At 38.0% G+C, this 25,888-nt stretch overlaps 1 protein-coding gene across 1 annotated transcript in view; it reads right to left on the bottom strand.

Annotated features, from left to right (window-relative positions):
- Positions 1-25,888, bottom strand: part of MEGF9 (multiple EGF like domains 9) — a 113,660-nt gene that overhangs the window by 11,297 nt on the left and 76,475 nt on the right. The window contains exons 3-4 of the mRNA NM_001080497.3: positions 10,509-10,648; positions 289-432 (exon numbers count right to left, since the gene is read on the bottom strand). Of these exons, the coding sequence (NP_001073966.2) occupies positions 289-432; positions 10,509-10,648 (284 nt within the window). The remainder of the gene's footprint in view (positions 1-288; positions 433-10,508; positions 10,649-25,888) is intronic.

Raw genomic sequence — 25,888 nt, forward strand, 5'->3', positions numbered from 1 at the left:
CTAGGAGGAACTAATTAGTAAATGTTACCTTGAAATAGGTGAGCAAAAGTTGCTCAGTCTTGAAGTTCCTGCATTAACTCATTATGCAGGTTTTTAGACACTTTAAGTCTCATTCACATATATATATATTTGGATTAGATTATAAATTCCTGGAAAGGAAAACTTTTGCTGTTTTTATAACTCCCTTTCACCTATAGCATCCAGAACTTTATTCATCAATGCAACTTATACCTATTGATAACTGATTTTTTTTTCCCTCTAAAATGAAAAGTTAGAGAAAGGCCTTACTTATAGAGCAGCTGCCTGTAGATGTCACTGCTGAACAAGGGCAGCGAAGACATTCTTTAGTGGCATCAGGACTCTGATAAAATCCTTCTTTACATTCTTCACAGTGATTTCCTTTGCTATTTTCCTGGCAGTTTAAACAAGCACCTAAAAGAAGCAAATTATTTTTAAAAGTTAAAGATTTACCTTGAAAGCCAAGTAACTTTCAAAAATCATGCCTGCAACAAAAAGATCATAAGAAAAAGAAAAACTAATAGGGATTGGATAGAGTTAATTTCTACCCCACCTGATTTCTATACTGCCATGTCTATGAATTGTGTCCCCTACTAGATTGTAAGCTCCTTAGGGAAAGGTGGGATACAAGATTAGTGGCTCAATAAATCCTTGCTGGTTAATCTGATTACATACCAAAAGTAGCAACTATACGCCAAGGAGAAAACAAAAACAATCCAAATACATATTAATAGAAGAATAGATAAATTGTGGCATTTTCATAAATGAACTAATCATACATGCATGAACATGCACAAATCTTTTTTTTTTTTTTTTTTTTAGAGATGGGGCCTCCCAAGTGGCTGGGACTACAGGAGCATGCCATTACACCCGGCTAATTTTTAAATTATTTTATGAGACAGGATTTCACTGTGTTGCCCAGGCTGATACTGAACTCTCAGCCTCCAGTGATTCTCCTGCGTTGGCCTCCCAAAGTTTTGGGATTACAGGCATGAGCCATTAGATTAGCCACCCAGCCTAAATCTTAAAAAGAATGTTGGTTGAAAAGCAAATTGGGGAATAACACATACAGAAAGAGAATACTTATTAAAATTTAAAAACCACACTAAGCGCACTAAGCAAATGGATACAGAGTACACTAACCAGATGGATATAAACATGAGGTAAAAATTAAAATGTGGATTGCGAGGGTATAGGGGAATTTTACACTCTGCTTGTCTCTGTGGAGGGAGGGGGGTAAAACAGGACTACGGAGGAAAAGAGGACCTCAACTTTATTGAAATTTTCTATTTCAAAGATGTAACTATATACATATATATATAAATATGAAGCAAAATGTCAAAATGTTAATCTTTATTATTAATAATTCTGGGTGTGAGTGCATGGATATTTGTTATATTATTCTCCATAGCTTTATATATTTAAAAATTTAAAGTAAAAATAAAAACAATTAATAAAGAAAAGAAAAAAACAAAACAAAGTTAGGTTTTGTAATAATACTCCCTTGGCACTCTATTAGTAAGGATGTTCTACAGACATGGAAGCAGCATAACATTTGAAAATACAAAATGAGAAAGTGTAACATAATTTACATTCCTTCCTTATGGGGCCAGGAAGATTCAAAGGGACACTCAGAACTACTATTATGGAAATTAGTGAGTAAATTCTACATAGAAATCTAGGAAGATAATGACATTTTACAAAGTAAGCTAACTACAGTCCAATGCTAAAACTATTCGTAAAAGTCTTGATTTCTTTTCCTTACTAGCAGAAATATTTTTAAAAGGGGAGAGAGAATAAGGCTGTGAAATAAAATGGTCTCACAACTGAAGCAAAACTTGAAAAAAACAAAAGAATGAAAATGTCATCAACCTACATGTTAAAAAGCTCAATTTTTTTTTTTTTTCTTTTGAGACGGAGATCACTCTGTGGCTCAGGCTAGAGTGCAGTGGCATGATCTCTGCTCACCACTCACTGCAACCTCCATCTTCAGGTTCAAGTGATCCTCCTGCCTCAGCTTCCCAAGTACCTGGGATTACAGGCGCATGTCACCACGCCTGGCTAATTTTTGTATTTTAGTAGAGATAGGGTTTCACTACGTTGGCCAGGCCGGTCTCGAACTTCTGACCTCAAGTGATGCGCCCATGTAGGCCTCCCTAAGTGTAAATCTCAATTCTTAACTGACTACAGCAAAATTCCCCCAAACTTCATAAATTTATTGTGAAAGATACCTTCAAAAGTTTATGTGAACACTTAACATTAAATCAAACTTGTATGTAAATATCATCATTTTCAATCATGTAATTGTAAAGGCCTGATAGTGTTAATGACATTTTTCCCACATAACAAAGTAGTATATATTCATGCTGTGGTAGACACTTTAGGTACTGGCTTCTTTCAGATCTTCTTGTATCATGATCTCTCTTTAGCTATGTATCTTTGTGACAATAAAAAACAGCTGAAAAATACATACTAGGAAACTGGAGTTTTGCTCTAAAAATAAAACAATTTTAAAAGTTAAACTGTTCCTCAGGTTGGACACGTCAAAACCTGCATTATGTGTGAAATCTGTCTACCTACTCTCCCCCTATTAAAAATGTTCAATACAAAGAATTTTTAAGAGAAAAAGTTCTGATAAAGTGCTAAGCTTTAATATAAAAAATACCTGAAAAAAAAAAAGCTAACAGTTCCATAGTAAAATTTGGATGTTCAGGGTAAGATGCAGTCCAATAATAAGTCCTTTGTGCATAGCTGATGTGACAAGAAAAGGTCATGTTGCTACCCTTTATATACATATATACATACATACATATATATATGTATATATGTATATGCCAGGCATGGTGGCTCACGCCTGTAATCCCAGCACTTTGGGAGGCCAAGGCAGGTGGATCACCTGAGGTCAGGAGTTCGAGACCAGCCTGACCAACATGGTGAAACCCTATCTCTATTAAAAATACAAAATTAGTCAGGTGTGGTAGTGCATGCCTGTAATCCCAGCTACTCAGAAGGATGAGACAGGAGAATCACTTGAATCCGGAAAGCAGAGGTTGTGGTGAGCCGAGATCACACAATTGCAATCCAGCCTGGGCAACAAGAGTGAAACTCCTTTTCAAAAATAATAATAATAAATAAATACATATATGTAAGCGTGTGTGTGTGCATGTGTGTGTACACACACACACACATGCACACACACACACTTGTAATCCTTTACTCCTACAGGGCTACTGGGCTTATATGTTTACTATTTTGGGGCTTTTTACTATTCTAAATAAGACTCCACATGTTTGTGACTACCACAATATAATTCTACTCTCTTAAGCCATTTATACCAGAATATTTTTTCCAGAAGAATTTTTTATTTGTGTTTGTTTTTTGGCCATACCCTGCAATGAGAAATCAATGAGTAAAAAAAAAATAACCTTACGTGGTAAACAATGTTATCTCAAAAGTAAAAATGAAAGCAAGTATAAGTATAAAATTTAGCCCAACACAGTGGCTCAAACCTGTAATCCCAGCACTTTGGGAGGTCAATGCAGGTGGATTGCTTGAGCCCCAGAGTTTGAGACCAGCCTGGGCAACAGGGCAAAATACTGTCTCTACAAAAAATACAAAAATTAGCTGGGTGCGGTGGTGCATGCCTGAGTCCCAGCTACTCAGGAGGCTGAGGTGGGAGGATCGCTTGAGTCTGGAAGGTTGAGGCTGTAGTGAGCTATGATCATGCCACTGCACTCCAGCCCGGGAAATAGAGCGAGACCCTGTCTCAGAAGAAAAATAAATAAATTAAAAAAAGAATAAAATTCATTGATTCTTAAATATTAATCACTGTTTACATTGCTTTAAGGTGCATGTACCTAAAGTACAACTATAGAGAAAGAAAACAAATAAATTAAAGATAGGCCAGACATAAATAACCAAAGTGTTAACAACAGTCGTGAGAGGCAATAGCCCTTTCAGAGTTTTTCTCCCTCTAGTCTAGAAATTATCTCTAGTATACATGCATCACTTTTATTTTTTATTACCTTGATTTTTCTTATTGTAAAATAACACACTGTAAAATATATCACATACACATTGTAAAATATTTCAAGAACTCAAGCAATTTGAAACACTTCATATATATATTTAATAATTATTTATTTTTACAATAAAAATAAAGACCATAACGTTTAAAACCTATATACGGTAGAAACTAATGATGTGAATTTGCTTCTTTAATAGCTTACAACTCCTCTGTGAGAGGCAACATAGCATTAAAAAATGGTATGGGGCTGGGTGCGGTGGCTCACACCTGTAATCCCAGCACTCTGGGAGGCCGAGGCGGTCGGATCACGAGGTCAGGAGATCAAGACCATCCCGGCTAACACGGTGAAACCCCGTCTCTACTAAAAATATAAAAAATTAGCCGGGAATGGTGGTGGGTGCCTGTAGTCCCAGCTACTCGGGAGGCTGAGGCAGGAGAATGGCGTGAATCCGGGAGGCGGAGCTTGCAGTGAGCCCAGATCAGCCACTGCACTCCAGCCTGGGTGACAGAGCAAGACTCTGTCTCAAAAAAAAAAAAAAAAAAAAAAAGTGGTATGGGAATTAATGTCAAATTTGTGTTCCATTTCCAGCTGAAATTCTCACAAACTAAGTTACCTTAAGCAAACAGCTTCTCTGATTTTCACTTTTCTAATCTGTAAAATGGGATAATAATTCTTTGGCTAACGATTTAATATAATGTGAGCATTTCAAAGGGTGAAAGACTATTCCATAGGACATAATGTTTTCTCTTTATGTCTTAATTTCTTCATCTGTAAATTTTAAAAGCTGAACTAGATGAAATCTAAGGTTTCCTTTAAATCTAAAATCTAAGAATCTTTCTTTTATGATAAATGATACATAAAAATAAGCTGAAGTTTAACATTGTTCATTATGCTCTGCCTGGAACCCCCCAAAATATAACAATACTGCCCTAAAACTCACATTCTCACATTCTCATTGCTGAAAGATGGCCAAAGGGTGGATCAAAAGAAAAAGGAATGTTTCCTGAAGATGATTTTTTCATGCTCCTTGACTAAGCATCTCAAAAATCTTTGTAGAGATAACCAAGAAAATAAATAGTCAAAGAAAGGAATGTAGGGCTCCTTTCCAGCCAAATTCAGGGACAAAACATTGAAAACATACATTGTTACCTGCAAAAAGACCTTTCCTTATTCCTTTATTTATTTTACCATTTCATCATTTATATATAAACCTATCTGAAATACAGTAATGTGCTTTGTTGTAGGAAGAAATGCCTTACCCTCTTTATAGAACAAAAGGCAAGCTTTAACCTGTCAAACTGAAAGAAGGCCAGTATGGAGCCCAGGTTAACAAGGGAGAGAGTAACAGGGCATAAGGTCAGAGAGAAAGGCAGGGCCCAGAAAATGTAAAACCAGATAGGCCATAGAGAGATGTTTGAATTTTATTTATTCCAAAAGGGATGAGAAGCCATTGGAGGGCTTAAGCATGAAAATGACATGATCTGGTTTTACATTTTAAAAAGATTGCTCTGGTTGTTATGTGGAGACTAACTGTGGTGGGGTGGGGATCAGAGAATAGGGAGAGAAGAGAGGAGGCTGAAAGGCCAGATGAGACTGTGCCAAAGTAGTTCAAAGAGATGACAGTGGCTTGGGCAAGGATGATGCAATAAAAGTCATGAACAGTGGTCAGATTCAGGGTATGTTTTGAAGATAGGGCTGATGGAATATACTGATGAGCTGGATATTTGCAGTAATAAAAAGGAGCAAAATCAAAAATGACTACTAGGCTTTGGGACTGAGTAACTTGGTGAAATGAATAGAGCAGGCTTAACTTATAAGTTGAAAAAAAAGTTGTTTTGGATGTGTTAGGTATATAATGCCAATTAAAACAAGTGGATATTTGACAGTTGGATATTTGAGTGTGGAGATCAACGGAGAAATGCAAATCTGATAATAAGCACATATATAGATGGCATTTAAATTAAATCCAGGGTTAAGGGGGAAAATGAGCTAAAACAAACAAACAAATACAAATTAAATCCAGGGGACTGAATGAGACCACTTAGGGAGAAAGTTTAAATGGCAAAGACAAACTTGACAAGCTCTGAGCCCTGAGGCACTCCAGTGCTTGGAGCTGAACTGAGGAAGATGTAGTAGAACAAATAAGAAGGAAAAGCTGGTTAGGTAGCACAAAAACTAGGAAAGCATGATACTCTGAAGTAAGTATCATTGGGGAGTAGAGGATTGGTCAACTCAGTCAAGCTGCTCAGGTCAAGTTACTCATCATGGGACACTATGAATACATAAAGGTACACTGGATTTTCAAAGGAAGTATATTATATGAACATGAAGTTCCAGTTTTAAAAATAATATCCCCCCACTTCCATTTTAAGGGAAACGTGCTTAATAAAGAAAATCTAGAAAAATACAGGAGTAGAAAGGGGTAAAAAATCATCCTAGGAAATCTCTCATTAAGATTTTTAGGCTGGGCTCCGTGGCTCAAGTCTGTAATCCCAGGACTTTGGGAGGCCGAGATGGGTGGATCACCTAATGTCAGGAGTTCAAGATCAGCCTGGCCACCATGGTGAAACCCCGTGTCTACTAAAAATACAAAAATTAGCTGGGCGTGTGATGGTGGGCGCCTGTAATCCCAGCTACTTGGGAGGCTGAAGCAGAAGAATCGCTTGAACCCGGGAGCCAGAGGTTGCAGTGAGCCGAGATCGTGCCATGTACTCCAGCCTGGTGACAGAGCAAGACTCGGTCTCAAAAAAAAAAAAAAGATTTTTAGTACTTCTCTTTGTAATCTTTCCTCATTTACAGGGGTTTGGCTTTTGTTTTTTAACTAGTCTAATTATATGGCATAAGTTATTTTATACCTTGCTTCTTTCACTTTCTCATATTGCTATATATCATTCTTTAAAACATTTTATCAGCCAGGCACAGTGGCTCACATCTGTAATCCCACCACTTTAGGAGGCCGAGGCAGGCGGATCACCTGAGGTCAGGAGTTCGAGACCAGCCTGCCCAACATGGCAAAACCCCGTCTCTACTAAAAATACAAAAAATTAGCCGGGCGTGGTGGTGGGCGCCTGTAATCCCAGCTACTTGGGAGGCTGAGGCAGGAGAATCGCTTGAACCCAGGAGGTGGAGGTTGCAGTGAGCCGAGATCGCGCCACCATACTCCAGCCTGGGCAACAAGGGTGAAACTCTGTTTCAGAAAAAACAAAACAAAACAAAACATTTTATCGAGAACATAGTAACAGTTACCATTTACTGATTACTTGTGATGGACCAGGCACTATATAAAGGCTGTACAAGTGTATTGCATTTAATCTTCACGACAACCCACTAGGCAGTTACTGCTATTATATCAAATTTATAGATGAAGAAACAGATTAAGCAACTTGCTCAAGGTAAGGTCAACATTTGGTTTTCTGTGTTTTTAATAATATACTGCCTAGATAACAGTATTTACTTAATACCCTATTGTGAGAAATTGGGTTGCCTAACTTTTTAAAATTGTAACTACCATTTTGGTGAGCATCTCTGAATATAACCTTCTTAAGAATTTAGAATTCTTTCCTTAGAATAGATTCCTGGAAATAGAACTACCAGATCAAAGAACAATTTTTAAGATTTCTAATACTTACTGTCAAATTGCTTTCCAAAATGTTTATCCAAATATATCTTACCACAAAAAAAGAGTACTTTGAAAATCTACTTCAATCTAAAACACAAGGTATAGCAAAACAGTAGAGGGGGTGAAAATAGGACTGTGAAAACACAGTAAGTGGCCACCAGAGGGCAACCTTATCACAGCACTGTTGAAAATAAAGTCACTTGACGAGAGTGGTTTTATATAAAGCTTGTAATTTTAAATACAGTATTTGCACTCCTTCACGTTGGATTCCACTTTTATTATAATTCCAAACAAAGAACCCATTTATTTCTCTCACTACTAGCTGCTTTTAGAAACCATAACCATGAAAAGAATTATTTTGCCTTAAATTATCTCCAGAGAAAGGACAGGTCAGCACTTACATGACAGTAAAGACAGTGGCCTCGTTGCCTTAAGAAAAATTAAAACTGAGAATCAGCAATGTAGACTGCTTTTCGGTACTGTAAAAGATCTAGGGAGTAATTTTAATCGACTCAGTATAATGAAGTATTCCTGTTGTTACTCAGTATTGAAAATAATCTTTCCTCTGTACGCCTTTCCATTCATTTGTTCATTTATTTGATAAAAATTTAGTGAGTAGTTACTATATGCTAAAGCTCCATGCTAGAGATTGTGTATACAATGGTGAAAAAAAAAAGTTCTTGCCCTCATGAGTGAGCCATATGTGACTCAGAATCACAAATAAATATACAATTACAAACTGTGAAAAGTGCTATGAAAAAATACAAGTATATGTGAGAGCATATAATAAGGAAATTACCATTAAGCCTAGAGCATCAGGAAATGCTTTCTAATGAAGTGGCCTTTAATTGACGACTCGAGGGAAGAATGTGATTTAATAAGGCAGAGGGGTCAAGGATGGAGGTAGAGGTGGATTAGAAAAACCATTCTTGGCAGAGGAAAGATCATATATGAGAACCCTGGGACCAGGGAACATGCCTTGTTTTAGAAATAAAAGCCAGTCTGACTGGATCACAGATGTAAAGAAAAAGAACGCCACAAGATAAAACTGGCAAATAGGCAGAGACAAGATCGCATAAAAGAAAAAAAAAACAATTTCTTCTAAATCAATTTGTTTTACTATAGAGTATTTGAATGAAGAATAAAACTTTCAACCGATTTTTCCAGGGTACTTTTGACTTCAAGTATTTTGCCACCCTGTTCTCATAAAAACACTTGTACTTGTCAGACTAGTGTGTCCTGATTTTTTTTGCTTGTTTGTTTGGGAAAAAAAATGTTTCCAAGGAAGGATACTTAATTCTTACATTTAGGAAAACTAAGATCAGAAGTTAATTGGCTTTAGTTTTTAATGGTTTGACTAAGTTTGCCTAAATGTGGTTTTCTTTGTTTTATATTGCTTAGGGTTTGCTGAACTTTCTGAATCTGTCGGTTGACACCTTTAATCCATTTGGAAAATTCATGGCCATTTTCTCTTCAGATATTACTGGGATCCAGTATCACTTTCCTCTCTTTTTAGATCTCCAATTACATTTATGCTAAACCTTTTGGCTGTGTCCCACATCTTCCCTGCTCTGTTCTTTCCATTATATTTTCTCGAAATGCTTCAGTTTGGATATTTTTAATTGTACTGTATTCAAGTCTTCTAACTTTGTCTTCACTGTGTACAATCTACTGTTAGATTAATGCAATGAGTTATTAATTCACATGTTGTATTTTTCAGTTCCAGTTTGTTCATTTGATATTTTAGAGATTCCAATTTCTATTGACATTTTGCCTCTCTTCACCTATTTTGTCTGATTTTCCCTTTATTGTATGAAAATACTAACTTTAGTCAAGTCTTTCTAAGTTGACTCTAACACCTAGATCACCTAAAGGTCTGCTTCCATTGCTCATTTTTTTTCTCTTTGGTATTGGTCACATTTTTCTGTCTTTGCATTGTCCAGTATTTTTTATTGTATGCCGGACACAGTATATAAAAGAACCAGAGAGGGCTCCCCTTTCATCTGTTAGGCAGATATAATGAGAGAATTACTTCAATCCAATCAGAAGGTGAGGCGGCTTGAGGGTGGACTGTAATTTTAGTATGAGTTAATCAACTTCTGGTTCCTTACTATTTCTTGGTCAGAGCCTAGCAAGCCTGTGTCTCCTTAGCCCTAAAAGACTGTGAGAGATTTGTATTGGCCTTTGGTAATTTGAGCTTAGGTCCCACTGCATGCACCCTCAGAGTCTGAAGACATCTTGAGGGGGAGATAATTGAATGTCATAGCAGGCCCTCTCTTTCTAAAGGGATTTTGTCTCCTCAGCACAAGACTGAAAGAGAAAGAGATTTTTTTCTACCTTTCTGGCCCAGCCTTCCATCTTTTGCATAGTCGGCTAATATCCTGTGGGAAAGCTGGCCTTGTGTTTGGGGATCCTCTTGTTTCCAACCATCATGCAAGCCTCAAATGACTGCCAAAAACATTTCTTGTATCTCTTTCCTAAAGAATTCCTTTGCTTGGGTCTAGCTCATTCTTTGCCTATGCTCAGAATCAGCAAATGTCCCCTGGAAAGACAATGGCTGGTGATCATCAGTTTACCTAGGAAGAGTTCCAACCTTTCTGGAATTTTAGTTCCTATAGTTCTCCTTGCCTCCATAGGTATATGACTTTTTTTTTTTTTTTTTAATTTACGTACTTTTTCAAGTTTGTTGTAGCAGGAGTTTGGCTTGCTGTGATCTAGTACATCCTACTTAGAAGATAAAGGCCCTTCCAAACTATTTCAGAAGAATCAACCTATAGCTGAAAGATTTCCAAATTAAAAGAACAGTGGAATAATTACATGACAAAGTTAAGGAAAGTACGTACCTGTGAGGGCATCGCAACTGGCAGACCGATTATTGCATTGGCAGGGCAAGCAGCCATTCTTACTAAAGCCATAATATCCATCTTGGCATCGGTCACATATAGAGCCAATGACACCCACTTTGCACTGGCATTTCCCAGAACTGCAAATAAAAGCAAAGACAATGAATAAAAGTAAATCAATTTAAAAGTTGTATTGAGTAACACCCCAGAAGGGAAAGAAAGCCCAGCTCATGTAAATCATATATACTTACCATATCTCAAAGCCTTGTGTCCAAATAAATCACCTATCAAATTCTGTATTGCTATTAAAAGCTGTCTAGTGTATTGCATAATGCAATTTCTTAGCTAACAAATAATTTTACAGAAAATTTAAAATGGAGGCATTTGAAAGCAGGAGTAATAATGATGATGCAATGAGCTATCATTTATTGAGGGCTTATGTCAATAAATATATTTTTTCTCTAATCCTCAAGGTAGTTCTACCTGGTGAGGGTCATAATACTTATTTTACTACTGAGAAAATTCAGATAAAGTTACTGTCCTCAGCTAGTAAGTCAAGTCTATTCATACAAAGCCAGACTTTTCCCCACCATACTATCTACTCCTAAGATTGACTCTAAATTGGTACAAGAAATTTGTCTGCCAAATAACTTGATATCCACTTAGGTATCAAGCTTCATTCTGTAGATCCAAAGCATTACAATTCACCATCTATATAGGTCCTGACTCCAGTGATGGTGTTTATGCCCTGTCCACAATAAATCTTGCTCTCTTTTCTCACTGCAAGTAAATTTCAGGTCTTTAACAAAGGCTGAGAAATCTTATTGCTTGAAGAGAAGCTGCAGCCTAACAAAGTCAAAGGTTCTCAGAGATAGAAGCCCAAATATTTTGATGTTTAAAGCTTAAATAAAATTTGTACTGATCATAGTATAGGAGATGTTTTTAAAAATGCAACAAAAATTTACATTATCTAATTTATACTATCAAGCATGAATCTATGAATCTTAAGTAATTTAGTAAAGAAAAAAGAAAAGAAGCCACACACATATACGGTCTTACACAAGAATATCCCAAGGTACTTAAAGATCTAGCAAAGAAAACCTGTATTCATAAAAAATAAAATTCAGGAATATTTTATGACTCAATAAGAAGGAACCAGTCAATCGAAGCCACTCTATACTATCAGAAAATTATAAAGAACATAATGTACCTTTCAAAGAATGGCTTACAACACTTCATCAGCTTATTTCCAAGGCTTTTAAAATGTTAATCAAAATATGCTTACTCCTCATTCCTCTAAATATGTTATTCAATATACAAAAGGATAAACAGTTACTTTCAATGATGGTGTTTGCCTAACCCACAACCTACAAGAAGAAGGTATTAGTTTCGAACACAAAATCACTTAATAATATTGTGTAACCATAATATAGCCAATGTTCCCAAAGTAGTTGCTATTCCTGAAGTGGGTTTTCCCTTAATAATTCTTGGGGCACTAAAAGACTTTCTATCTGGAGGATCTGCTCCTTAATTGCTGATTTAAAGTGACTTAATGAATCTTGATAAAGTAGTTGTCTGAGTGTACATACCATGCTTTATTTTTTCCTGGGTGATTTTTGTTCGTTTTTGTTTTTTGAGAAAGGGTCTCATTTAGTCCCCTAGGCTGCAGTGGCGTGATTTCGGCTCACTGCAGCCTCAACTTCCTGGGTTCAGGTGGTCCTTCTGCCTCAGCCCCTCAAGTAGCTGGGACTACAGGTATGCGCCACCACATCCGGCTAATTTTTGTATTTTTTGTGGAGACAGGGTTTTCCCCTGTTGCCCAGGCTGGTCTCAAACTCCTGAGCTCAAGCAATCCGTCTGCCTTGGCCTCCGAAAGTGCTAGCATTACAGGTATGAGACACCATGCATGGCCAGATTTTAAAACAACAAGAAAAAAAAAGGTGCTTTTCTCTCTTTTAAAAGAAAATATAGGCCGGGCGTGGTGGCTCACACCTTTATCCCAGCACTTTGGGAGGCTGAGGTGGGTGGGTCACTTGAGGTCACAAGTTCAAGACCAGTGATCAGCCTGGCCAACATGGTGAAACCCCGTCTCTACCAAAAATACAAAAATTAGTCAGAGTGGTGGTGTGTGCCTGTAGTTCCAGCTACCTGGGAGGCTGAAGCAGGAGAACTGCTTGAACCCAGAAGACGGAGGGTGCAGTGAGCCAAGATCATATCACTGCATTCCAGCTTGGGTGACAGAGTGAGACTCCGTCTCAAAAAAAAAAAAAAAAAAAATGAAGTGAGGAATTTTGGTTGTGAGGCTGCACTACTAGTGCTTTTGCATCATGTTATTCATGGCCCAAGGCCAATTTCTGCATGTATAAGAATTAAATTTATCAGGCATGGTGGCACATGCCTATAGTCCCAGCTACTCAGGAGGCTGAGGCAGGAAGATCACTTGAGCCCAGGAGTTCTAGGCTGCCTGAACTACTCCAACTGCAGTTAAACAGGAATAAACAGCTGGGTCCACTTATCTCAAATTAAACCTGTCTCTCATAAAGCCCCACAGACCAAGAAACACAGGAGACTAATCCTGCAACCACCCAATGGGTTCACCTTGCCCACTGCCTAGGCAGAGCTGATTTATCAAGATGGGGGAATTGCAATACAGAAAGAGTAATTCATGCAGAGCCAGCTGTGCAGGAGACCAGAGCTTTATTATTACTCAAATCAGTTTCCCTAAGTATTCAGGGATTAGGGTTTTTAAGGACAACTTGGTGGGTGGGGTGAAACCAGGGAGCCAGAAGTGCTGACTGGTTAGGCAGGAAATGACATCACAGGGAATTGAAGCCATCCTCTTGAGCTGAGTGTGCCATGATCGGGCCTGTGAATAGCCACTGTACTCCAGCCTGGGCGACACAGGGAGACTCTGTCTCTTAAAAAAAAGATTTAAATCGGCCAGGTGCAGTGGCTCATGCCTGTAATCCTAGCACTTTCGGAGGCTGAGGCGAGTGGATCACGAGGGCAGGAGTTCGAGACCAGCCTGGCCAACATAGTGAAACCTCGTCTCTACTAAAAATACAAAAATTAGCAGGGCATGGTGGCACACACCTGTAGTCCCAGCTACTCGGGAGGCTGAGGCAGGAGAATCGCTTGAACCTGTGAGGTGGAGGTTGTGGTGAGCCAAGATTGCGCCACTGCACTCCAGCCTGGGTGACAGCAAGACTCTGTCTCACAAAAAAAAAAAAAAAAAAAAAAAGAAAGAAAAGAAATCACTCAGCAAATATAAAGCTTTGCCTGTGTGACTTCCTTCGTAGAATAAAGACTTTACAACACTCCCTTTCATGGTCTCTCTCTGTTAAAGACTTGAATGCTTTCTGAAGCAAAGGTCAATGATATAAATGCAATGAAACCAAAAAAGAAAAAAAAAAGGCTGTGAACAGACCACTTATGCTTATCCATAGATTTGAAATGAAAGAACCAAAACCCACAGCTTCATAACTGGAGAATAAATGTGTAGAACTGGATTTTAAATAGAAATCAGACATCTGTACTATGAGATCAGCTAACAATTTAAGATAAAATTTGCTTATCTGGTCTTAATGACATGTTGCTAGTAAAGTACCAAGATAGCACAAAAATTATATCAGAAAAAAAAGAATATAGAATTATTCATAAACGAAGCATAAGCATTGTGGAGCTACGCTGCATTAAGTGTAACTATGCATATACTACACATTTCTTAAATTATCCCAAAAGGGATTCTCAGATTTTCTTGTGGTAGTAATGCTCAGTTATAGAACTTACATACTCATGGGTGTGAACAACTCCTGCAAGGTTTTAACACTTTAGAAAAAAGCATTTTTTAAGTGTATATAAATAAAAACATATTTTACAACACTAATAGTCATTACTTTTTCAAAAGAAAATTCACTGGTGTATCATCTCAAGATATGGTACATATCTATGTCACATGAATACAAGCCAAATTACCTTTTTAAAGACTCTGTTTAAGATGAGTGGGTGGAGAAGCTTCAGAATTTCCATTATTTTACAGTCACATTGATTAGGTGGGATGGGTATAATACAGGAAAGGAGTATCAGAGTTTATGGAAAAAACCAGCCCGAGGAAACAGAGTTTGGTTCATATTCCAGCTCTACTAGTGACTAGCTGGCACAAAGTATTCATTCTATCTTGGCCTCTGTATTCTCATTTGTTAAGTGAAGACAATTATACCAACCTTTGTAGTATATTAAAAATTGCATACACAATGCATTTAGCACAGTGTCTGGCACATACTCAGTACTCAAAAATGAAAGCAACTATGGACATGATGACAGTGATCCTAGATCTTAAATATTTTCTGAGAATTCTAAGGAAAGTAGGTTAGAATTCCCAGTTGGCAAAGACAGGGAAGACTAAGTTACTTACTTTTAAAATTTAAAATTTGTAAGTAATTTAAAATTTTAGAATTCTGTTAATAAAACTAAAAAAAAGCAAAACATTAAAGGATAATTACTAGTTTGTAGCAAAAATATGGCTAGAAAAAGAGAGCACATTATAAACACATGGTAGAAACAGTTTTGGGGGAAAAAATTTTAATCGAGAAGAGAAAGGATCTGCAAAATCCTACATTAGGTGGGATCAAAGCCAGCTGGACCTGACTTGCTTTTCTACCAACTAGTTAATGATTTATTTCTAAATTGTTAAATGTCTTGGCATGTTTTTTGTTATCAAGAAAGTCTATTTTCTTCCTAAGATTTACAAGATATAAAGTACGTGTGTATGTATATTTTTAGGTATCACATTATCAATTTTAACTCAAGCAGTTACAGAATAATTAAAAATTATACATAGTTCTTTCCTTTTTCTTTTTTTTGAGATGGAGTCTTGCTCTGTCACCCAGGTTGGAGTGGTGCAGTGGCACAATCTCGGCTTACTGCAACCTCCGCCTCCTGGGTTCAAGCGATTCTCCTGCCTCAGCCTCCCAAGTAGCTGGGACTACAGGCATGCACTATCACGCCCGGCTAATTTTTGTATTTTTAGCAGAAACAGAGTTTCGTCATGTTGGCCAGGCTGGTCTCGAACTCCTGACCTCAAGTGATCCACCCGCCTGGGCTTCCCCAAGTGCTGGGATTACAGGTGTGAGCCACTGCGCCCAGCCCATAGTTCTAATTAGAGAAAATTAATTCATTTGTGGTCATTTGGGAACTTTTGCTTTTCCCCTTTCCTTCTTCCTCAGACATTACACATGTTGACACTCTGACATGAAGACAATAAGAAACACAATTAAGAGATAATGAAATGTATCAATTTTCTTCTTCCTCCACTTTTAAAAATGAACTTAAAAATAACATTTTAAGCTATTTTTAAATAACTAAAAAACAATTTACTTTGGGAAGAGACTGAAACTAGTAATTAAAAGTCTGAAATCAGTAATACCAAACTGCTGATTATAAACTCGCTCAATATATTAAAATCGAACTTTAAAAGGTAGCTAGAAAAAGTTTTTCCAACTACAAAAAGGTTTTATATGGAAAAATAAAATAAAACGTTATTAAAAATTCTTAATTTCATGTCTGGGTCATGATTTTGTAGAGGTAAGAAAATAATAGTTTCTCCTCTTGTTAAAAGAAACTTAATAATTGGACTTTCTGGCAAAAGATTATCTGAATTTAGTGTTCCTCTGTCTTTCCACAGTTATGGAAAAGATCATTATGCAATAAGCGAGGCTTCTGGAGGAAAAAAAGGATAGCTTTATTGTTGAAAACATTGGGCTATTATGCTAAACATTCCTTGTATTTTTGAGGGCAAATAGTCTAAAATATGTTTAGAGGAAATCCATATTCAGACAGAAATTCTTGTCGTTGTTTTTTTTTTTTTTTTTTTTTTTTTTTCAGAGACAGAGGACAGTTTATTCCTCCAAACAAAAGCAGTAGCTAGAGTAGAGTATCAGCATTTACACCATGTCCCCAAACCTCAATTCCCAACGGTCATGCAACGAGGGCCAGTGATGCCTGCATATGAGGTGGGTTGTTACAGAAGAAGAACCCCAAACTCAGAGAATCCAAATCTTTTATAATGGACAGTGAGCTTACCTGATCTTTGCCCAGGAGGGAGACTTTATTTTTATTATATTGGACAGTGGCAAATCTGTTCTTTACTCCAGAGGAAGATATTAGCTCTATTTTCCAAGGCAGTTTGCTATGCAAATATCCTTGAATAAATAGTCCAGAACAAGGCAGTGCCTCTGCTTGCAAAAGCACAAGAGATCTTTAGAGAATTGTCTTGAAACAATAACCACCTCTCAATGATACAATCTCATAGCCTCTGAAAACTTTTCTCATGAGTACAACACTCCAGTCATGATGACTTTGTTTTGTTTTTTGTTTTTTGATACAGGGTCTCACTGTGTTGCCCAGGCTGGAGTGCAGTGGTGCGATCACAGCTCACTGCAGCCTCAACCTCCCTGGCTCAAGATATCCTCCCACCTCAATCTCTTGAGTGTGGAACTACAGGCATGTGCCACCATGCCTGGATAACTTTTTGAAATTTATTTTTTGTAGAGACAGGTTCACATTATATTGTCCAGGCTGGTCTCAAACTCCTGGGCTCAAGCAATCCTTCAGCCTTGTTCTCCCAAAGTGCTGGGATTACAGGTGTGAGTCACTGTGCCTGGCCCAGTCATGATGATTAATCTGAACAACAGAGCCAAATCCTGCCTGAGACACATTTTAAATAAACTTTTATTGGAACACAGGCTAGGTGCAGTGGCTCATGCCTGTAATCCCAGCACTTTGACAGGCCAAGGAAGGCAGATCACTTGAAGCCAGGAGTTCGAGACCAGCCTGGCTAACATGGCAAAACATCGTCTCTACTAAAAATACAAAAATTAATGGCATGGTGGCACACGGCTGTAATTCCAGCTACTCGGGAGGCTGAGGCATGAGACTTGCTTGAATCTGGGAGGCGGAGGTTGTTGCAGTGAGGCAAGATTGTGCCACTGCACTCCAGCCTGGGTGACAGAGTGAGACAGTCCCCAAAAAAATTTTTGGCTGGGTGCAGTGGCTCACATCTGTAATCCCAGCACTTTGGGAGGCCAAGGAGGATGGACCACCTGAGGTCAGGAGTTCAAGACCATCCTGGACAATATGGTGAAACCCGTCTCTACTAAAAATACAAAAATTAGCTAGGCGTGGTGGCACGCACCTGTAGTCCCAGCTACTCGGGAGGCTGAGGCAGGCGAATTGCTTGAACCTGGCAGGTGGAGGTTGCAGTGAGCTGAGATCGCATCACTGCACTCCAGCCTGGGCAACAGAGTGAGACTCCGTCTCAAAAAAAAAAAAAAGAAAAGTTTTATTGGAACACAGTCATTAATTTACGTATTGTCTATGGCTATTTTCACTCTTTAATGGTACAGTTCAGTATACCTTGACCATCCGCCCATTGCTGAGTAGCCTTTTTTGCTATTATTTTTAACTGACAAATAACAATTGTACATATTTATGGGGTACAGTGTGGTATGTCAATACAAAGCCTATATGTATACTTTCATATCTGTTAACCAACCTTTGGCTATCTTCCCCTCCCACCTTTTCTACCTTTAATAACCACTATTCTACTTTCTACTTCTATGAGATCAACATTTTTAGTTCCCACATAAGTAGGAACATGCAGTATTTCTGCATCTGTCTGACTTCACTTAAGATAATGTTCTTCAAGTTCATCCATTGTGCCATGAATGATAGAATTTCATTCTTTTTTATGGCTAACTAGTGTTCCATTGCACACATTTTCTTTAGCCACTCTTCTGGTGATGGACACAGAGGTTGATTCTGTATCTTGGCTATTGTGAAGTGCTGCAATAAACATGGGCATGCAAATATCTCTTTGGCATACTAACTTCCTTTCCTATAGATATACACCCAGTAGAGGGATTGTTGGATCATATGATAGTTCTATTTTTAGTTTTCTGAGGAACTTCCATACTGTTTTTCATAATGGCTGTGCTAATTTACATTTCCACTAGAACAGTGTATAAGAGTCCCCTTTTCTCTGCATCTTTGCCAGCATGTATTCTTTGCCTTTTTGATAACAGACATTCTAATGGGGGTGAGATGACATCTCATTGTAGTTTTGATTTGTACTTCTCTGATGATTAGTGATGTTGAGTACTTTTCATTTGTATGTTTTTGTTTGAGAAATGTTAATTCAGCTCCTTTGCCCATTTTTAAAATTATTTGTTTACTGGTTGTTGAGGTGTTTGAAGATATCTGGATATTAGTCTCTTTCAGATGAATAGTTTGCAAATATCTTCTCCCATTCTGCATATTGTCTTTTCACTCTGTTGATTGCTGCCTTTGCTGTGCAAACGTTTTTTAACTGGATCCGATCCCATTTGTCTATTTTTGCTTTTATTGTCTGTGCTGATGAGGTCTTCACAAAATCTCTGCCCAGAGCACTGCCCTGAAACATTTCTTCTATGTTTTCTGCCAGTAGTTTCATAGTTTTCAGTCTTGCATTTAGTTCTTTAGTCAATTTGGAAACGATTTTTGTATATGGTGAGAGATAAAGGTCTAGTTTCATTTTTCTGCATATGGATATCCAGTTTCCCCAGCACCACTTATTGAAGAGACTGTCCCATTCTCAATGAATGTTTTTGGCACCTCTGAGAATCAAGTGGCTGTAAGTATGTGGATTCATTTCTAAATTCTTTATTCCATTCCATTAGTCTATGTGTCTGTTTTTATGCCAGTACCATGTTGTTTTGGTTACTAAAGTTTTGTAGTATATTTTGAAGTCCAGCAGTGTGTTGCCTCCAGCTTTGTTCTTTTTGCTCAGAATTTGAGTATTTGAGGTCCCCTGTGGTTCCATATGAATTTGATTGCATTTTTTTTTTTTTCTGAGATGGAGTCTTGCCCTGTCACCCGGGCTGGAGTGCAGTGGTGCAATCTCAACTCACTGCAACCTCCACCTCCCAGGTTCAAGCAATTCTCCTGCCTCAGCCTCCTGAGTAGCTGGGATTACAGGTGTGCACCACCATGCCTGGGTAATTTTTGTAATTTTAGTAGAAATGGGGTTTTGCCATGTTGGCCAGGCTGGTCTTGAACTCCTGACCTTAAGTGATCTGCCAGTCTCAGCCTCCCAAAGTGCTGGCATTACAGGTATAAGCCACTGTGCCCGGCCCTGTATTTTCTATTTCTGTGAAGAATGCCATAGATATTTTGATAGGGATAGCATTAAATCTGTAGATCACTTTTGGTAGTATGGTTATTTTCACAATATTAATTCTTCTTCTCCTTCTCCTTCCTCACCTTCTCCTTCTCCTTCTCCTCCTCCTCTTTTTTTGAGATGGAGTCTCACTCTGTCGCCAGGCTGGAGTGCAGTGATGCGATCTCAGCTCACTGCAACCTCCACCTCCCAGGTTCAAGTGATTTGCCTGCCTCAGCCTCCTGAATAGCTGGGACTATAGGTGCATGCTACCACGCCCAGCTAATTTTTGTATTTTTAGTAGAGACAGGTTTCACCATATTGGCCAAGATGGTCTTGATCTCTTTACCTGGTGATCCACCCACCTCGGCCTCCCAAGAACCCAGACCACAATATGAATTCTTTCAACCCATAAACATAGAATATCTTTTAATTTTTTAAATGTCCTAATCAATTTCCTTTCATCAGTGTTTTATAGTTTTCCTTGTAGAAATCTTTCATATTCTTGGATAAATTTATTCCTAAGTGTTTTTTTTTTTTTTTGGAGCTATTTTAAATAGGATTGGTTTTTTAAATTTCTTTTTCCACTATTTCACTGTTGCTGTGTAAAAACAGCACTGATTTTTTATGTTGATTTTGTGTCCTCCAACTTTACTGAATTCATTTATCAGTTCTAAGAGCTTTTTGGTGGAGCTTTTAGGGTTTTCTATATAAAAGATCATGTCATCTGCAAACAGACAATTTGATTTCCTCCTTTCCAATTTGGATGCCCTTTATTTCTTTCTCTTGCCTAATTGCTCTGGCTAGCACTTCTGGTATTATGTTGAATAGGAGTGGTGAAAGTGGGCATCCTTGTCTTTTTCCAGTTCTTAGGGGAAAGGCATTCACCTTTTCCCCACTCTGTATGATGCTGGCTGTTGGTTTGTCATATTGGCCTTTATTATTCTGAGGTACGTTTCTTCTGTCTATTTTTTGAGTGTTTTTATCACGAAGGAATGTTGAATTTTATCAAATGCTTTTTCTGCATCCACTGAGATGATCATGTGGTTACTGTCCTTCATTCTGTTGATTGATGTATCACGTTTATTGATTTGCATGTGTTGAACCACCCTTGCATCCCTAGTATAAATCCCACTTGATCATGGTGTATTTTCTTTTTAATGTGTTGTTGGATTTGGTTTGCAAGTATTCTGTTGGGGATTTATGAGCCTATGTTATTCAGGGATATGGGCCTGTAGTTTTCTTTTTTGTGTTGTGTCCTTGTCTGGTTTTGGTATCAGGGTGATGCTAGCCTTACAGAATGAGTTAGGGAGAATTCCCTTCTCTTTGATTTTTTGGAATAGTTTCAGGAGGATTAGTATTAGTTCTTCTTCATATGTTTGGTAGAATTTGGCTATGAATGCAACCAGTGGGCTTTTCTTTATTGGGAGGCTTTTTATTGCTGATTCAATCTCATTACCTGTTACTGGGCTGTCCAGGTTTTCCATTTCTTCCTGATTCAGTCTTGGTAGCTTGCATGTTTCCATACAAGCAGAATTTATCCATTTTCACTAGGTTTTCAGATTTCTTGGCATACAGTTGTTTGTAATAGCCTCTAATGATCCTTTGTATTTCTGTGGCATCAGTTGTAATGTCCTCTTTTTCATTTCTGATTTTATTTCTTTAGGTTTTTTCTCTTTTTTTCTTGGTTAGTCTAGCTGATGGTTTCTCAATTTTGTTTATCTTTTCAAAGCCAACTTTTTATTTAGCTGATTTCTTGTATTGCTTTTTAGTCTCAATTTTAAAATTTTTGCCCTAATCTTTATTATGTCTTTCCTTCTGCTAATTTTGAGTTTTGTTTTTTCTGGCTTTTCTAGTTCCTTAAGCTGGATCATTAGGTTGTTTATTTGAAATTTTGCTAGTTTTTTAATACAAGTGTTTATTGCTATAAAGTTTCCTTTTGATACTGTGTTTGCTCTATCCCATAGCATGGTATGGGATGTTGCGTTTCTATTTTCATTTGCTCCAAGAAATTTTAAAATTTCCTCATTGATCCAGTGGTCATTCAGGAGTATATTAATTTTTGTGTATTTGTATAGCTTTCCAAAGTTCCTCTAATTGTTGATTTCTAGTTTGATTCCATTACAGTCAGAAAAGATACCTGATATAATATTAATTCTTTTAAATTTGTTAAGACTTGTGTTGTAGTCTAACATGTGGTCTATCCTGGAGAATGTTCTATGTGCTATTGAAAAGAAAGGATGTACATTTTGTAGCTTTTGGATTAAATGTTCTGTCAACGTCTGTTAGGTCCATTTGGTCTCAAGTGCAGTTTAAATCAAATGTTTCCTTGTTGATTTTCTGTCTAGATGATATGTCCAATGTTGAGACGTTAGATATTGGGTGTTGAAATCTGCAACTATTATTGTATTGGAGTCTAACTCTCACTTTAGATCTAATAATATGTGCATATGTGGGTGCTCCAGTGTTGGGTGCATATATATTTACAATTATTATATCCTTTTGCTAAATTAATTCCTTTATCACTATATAATGACCTTTTTTGTCTCTTTTTACAGTTTTTGACTTAAAGTTTGTTTTATCTGACTTAGGCATAGCTATTTCTGCTCACTTTTGGTTTCCATATGTGTGGAATATCTTTTTTTTTTTTTTTTTTTTTTTTTTTTGAGACGGAGTCTCGCTGTCGCCCAGGCTGGAGTGCAGTGGCGCAATCTTGGCTCACTGCAGGCTCCGCCCCCTGGGGTTCACGCCATTCTCCTGCCTCAGGAATATCTTTTTCCATAACTTTACTTTCAGTCTGTGTATGTCTTTACAAGTGAAGACAATTTCTTGTAGGCAGCATATAGTTAGGCCATATCTTTTTATCCATTCAGCCAGTCCATATCTTTTAAGTGGGGGATTTAATCTGTTTATACTCAAGGTTATTACTGATAGGTAAGGACTTACTGCTGACATTTTGTTAATTGTTTTCTGGTTGCTTTGTATATCCTTATTTCCTTTGTTCTGCCTTTATTGTTTATCATTGATGTTTGGTGGTTTTTTTGAAGTGATAAGGTTTGATTCTCTTCTCTTTCTCCTTTGTCCATCTTTTCTAACAGTGAATGTTACACTTTTGTGTTTTTTCATAATAGTGATTATTGTCCTTTCACTTACAGATGTAGGACTCCCTTGAGCATTTCATGTAAGGCTGTTCTAGTGGTGATGAATTCCCTCAGTTTTTGCTTATCTGGGAAAGACTTTATTCCTCCCTTATTTCTGAAGGATAGCTTTTCTGGGTATAGTATTCTTGGTTCACTTTTTTTTTCCTTTTAGCAACTTGAATATATCAACCCATTCTTTCCTGGCCTGTAAGATTTCTGCAGAGAAATCTGCTGTTAGGTTAATGAAGACTCCCTTATACATGACTTGACACTTTTCTCTTGTTGTGTTTAGAATTCTCTCTTTGTATATGACTTTGAATAATCTGACTATTAAGTACCTTGGATGGGATCTTTTTGTGTGAAATCTATTTGGGGACCACTGAGCTTCCTGAAACTGGATTTCCAAATTTCTCCACACGCTTGGGAATTTTTTAGCTATTATTTCATTAAATAGGTTTTCTATGCCTTTTCCCTTCCCTAGAACTCTCACAATACAAATACTTGTTCACTTAATGGTGTCCCATAAGTCTTGTAAGCTTTCTTTACTCTTTTTCATTCATATTTCTCTCTCTTTTTTTTTTCCTCTGACTAGGTAATTTCGAATGACCTATCTTCAAGTTCAGGGATTCTTTTGCTGGATTCTTTCTTTTGTTGAATCTCTCTGTTGTATTTTTTAATTTAATTCACTGAATTCTTCAGTTGCAGGATTTCTGGTTGGTTCTTTTTTTTATGATTTCTATCTCTGTTGAATTTGTCATTCACATCATAAATCCTTTTCTGATTGACTGAACTATCTGTATTTCCTTGTATATCATTCAATTTCTTAAAAAATCATAATTTTGAATTCCTTTTCTGGCAATTAGTTGATTTCCTTTTCATGCAGGTCTGCCACTAGAAAGTGACGTTCCTTTGGTGGCAACCTATTTCCATGCTCTTTCATATTTCTGGTGTCCCTGTGTTGATGTCTGTGCACCTGGTGGAACAATCATCTCTTCCTTTTTTTTGAGATGAAGTCTCCATCTGTCACCTGTGCTGGAGTACAGTGGCATGATCTTGGCTCACTGCAACCTCTGTCTCCCAAGTTCAAGCGATTCTCTTGCCTCAGCTTCATGAGAAGCTGGAATTAACACGTGTATGTCACCACACCTGGCTAATTTTTTTGGTATTTTTGTAGAGATGGGATTTCGTCATATTGGCCAGGCTGGTCTTGAACTCCTGACCTCAAGTAATCCACCCATCTTGGCCTCCCAAAGTGCTGGGATTACAGGCTTGAGCCACCGCGTCCAGCCTACCTCTTCCTAACTTTCTAGAGTGGCTTCCATAGATAAGGACTTTCATCTGCAGTTGGGTTTTAGTTTGCTGGTTGAAAAGGTGGTGGTGACTCTGTTTCCAATTGGGTGCAGTGGTATAGTCTTCATGAAGATTCTTCATCTTTATTCAATGTCAGCAATAACTGTAAGCATCTCAGTGGCATAGGCTGTACACATTTGTGACAGTGGTGGCCAGAAATTCATAATACTCAAAAAGAGTACTGCTTAAGTGCAAAAATATTTTGTGATAACTGATCTTATCAAAATAAAATTCAAAAATTTAAAAACTCAGAAGTAAAACTTAAAGGCATAAAAATCAAATGTGACACATTTCCAGAGCCACAACTTGCAACAGTTAACTTAATTCAACTAGGACAGTGATTTTTCACTTCCTTCACTGTTTTTTTTAAAACAGAAAAAATACAAGCATAAAAATGGTGCTCCACACCTCTGCCCAGCCGCGACCCCGTCTGGGAACTGAGGAGCGCCTCCGCCCGGCCGCCCCATCTGAGAAGTGAGGAGCCCGTCCGCCCGGCAGCCGCCCCGTCTGGGAGGTGGGGGGGCGCCCCCGCCCGGCAGCCGCCCCGTCTGGGGGGTGGGGGGGCCCCTCTGCCCGGCCGCCACGTCTGGGAAGTGAGGAGCCCCTCTGCCCGGCCGCCACCCCGTCTGGGAGGTGTACCCAACAGCTCATTGAGAATGGGCCATGATGACCATGGGGGTTTTGTCCAATAGAAAAGGGTGAAATGTGGGGAAAAGAGAGATCAGATTGTTATTGTGTCTGTGTAGAAAGAAGTAGACATAGGAGACTCCATTTCTGTACTAAGAAAAATTCTGCCTTGGGATGCTGTTAATCTATAACCTTACCCCCAACCCCATGCTCTCTGAAACATGTGCTGTGTCAACTCAGGGTTAAATGGATTAAGGGTGGTGCAAGATGTGCTTTGTTAAACAGATGCTTGAAGGCAGCATGCTCGTTAAGAGTCATCACCACTCCCTAATGTCAAGTACCCAGGGACACAAACACTGTGGAAGGCCGCAGGGTCCTCTGCCTAGGAAAACCAGAGACCTTTGTTCACATGTTTATCTGCTGACCTTCTCTCCACTATCGTCCTATGACCCTGCCAAATTCCCCCTCTCGAGAAACACCCAAGAATGATCAATAAATACTAAAAAAAGTTTAAAAAAAAAGAGAGAAGAAATTTTAAAGAATAAAGTATGTATTCTGCTTTAAAAAAAAAAAAAATGGTGCTCCAGGCCGGGCGTGGTGGCTCATGCCTGTAATCTCGGCACTTTGGGAGGCCGAGGTGGGTAGATTATGAGGTCAGGAGTTCAAGACCAGCTTGGCCAAGATGGTGTTACCCCATCTCTACTAAAAATACAAAAATTAGCTGGGCATGGTGGTGGGTGCCTGTAATCCCAGCTACTCAGGAGGCTGAGGCAGAGAATTGCTTGAACCCGGGAGGCAGAAGTTGCAGTGAGCCGAGATCGCACCATTGCACTCCAGCCAGGGCAACAGGGCAAGACTCTGTCTCAAAAAAAAAAAAAAAAAAAAAAAAAAAGTACTACATTATTTGATAGTTTCTGCACTTCATAAGTCATTTTGAAAAAAGAAAATGTAGAGACAAAATATAGGGTCTAGGTATCTTGCCAAGAAGTTGCTTCTCAAATATGTTAATATTTGTATTCTTTTGTAACCATTGTAAAAGAGATGTTTAGTGAAAGGGTAAATTTTTTTTT

This window comes from Homo sapiens, chromosome 9, assembly GCF_000001405.40.
Source record: "Homo sapiens chromosome 9, GRCh38.p14 Primary Assembly".
NCBI lineage: Eukaryota > Metazoa > Chordata > Mammalia > Primates > Hominidae > Homo > Homo sapiens.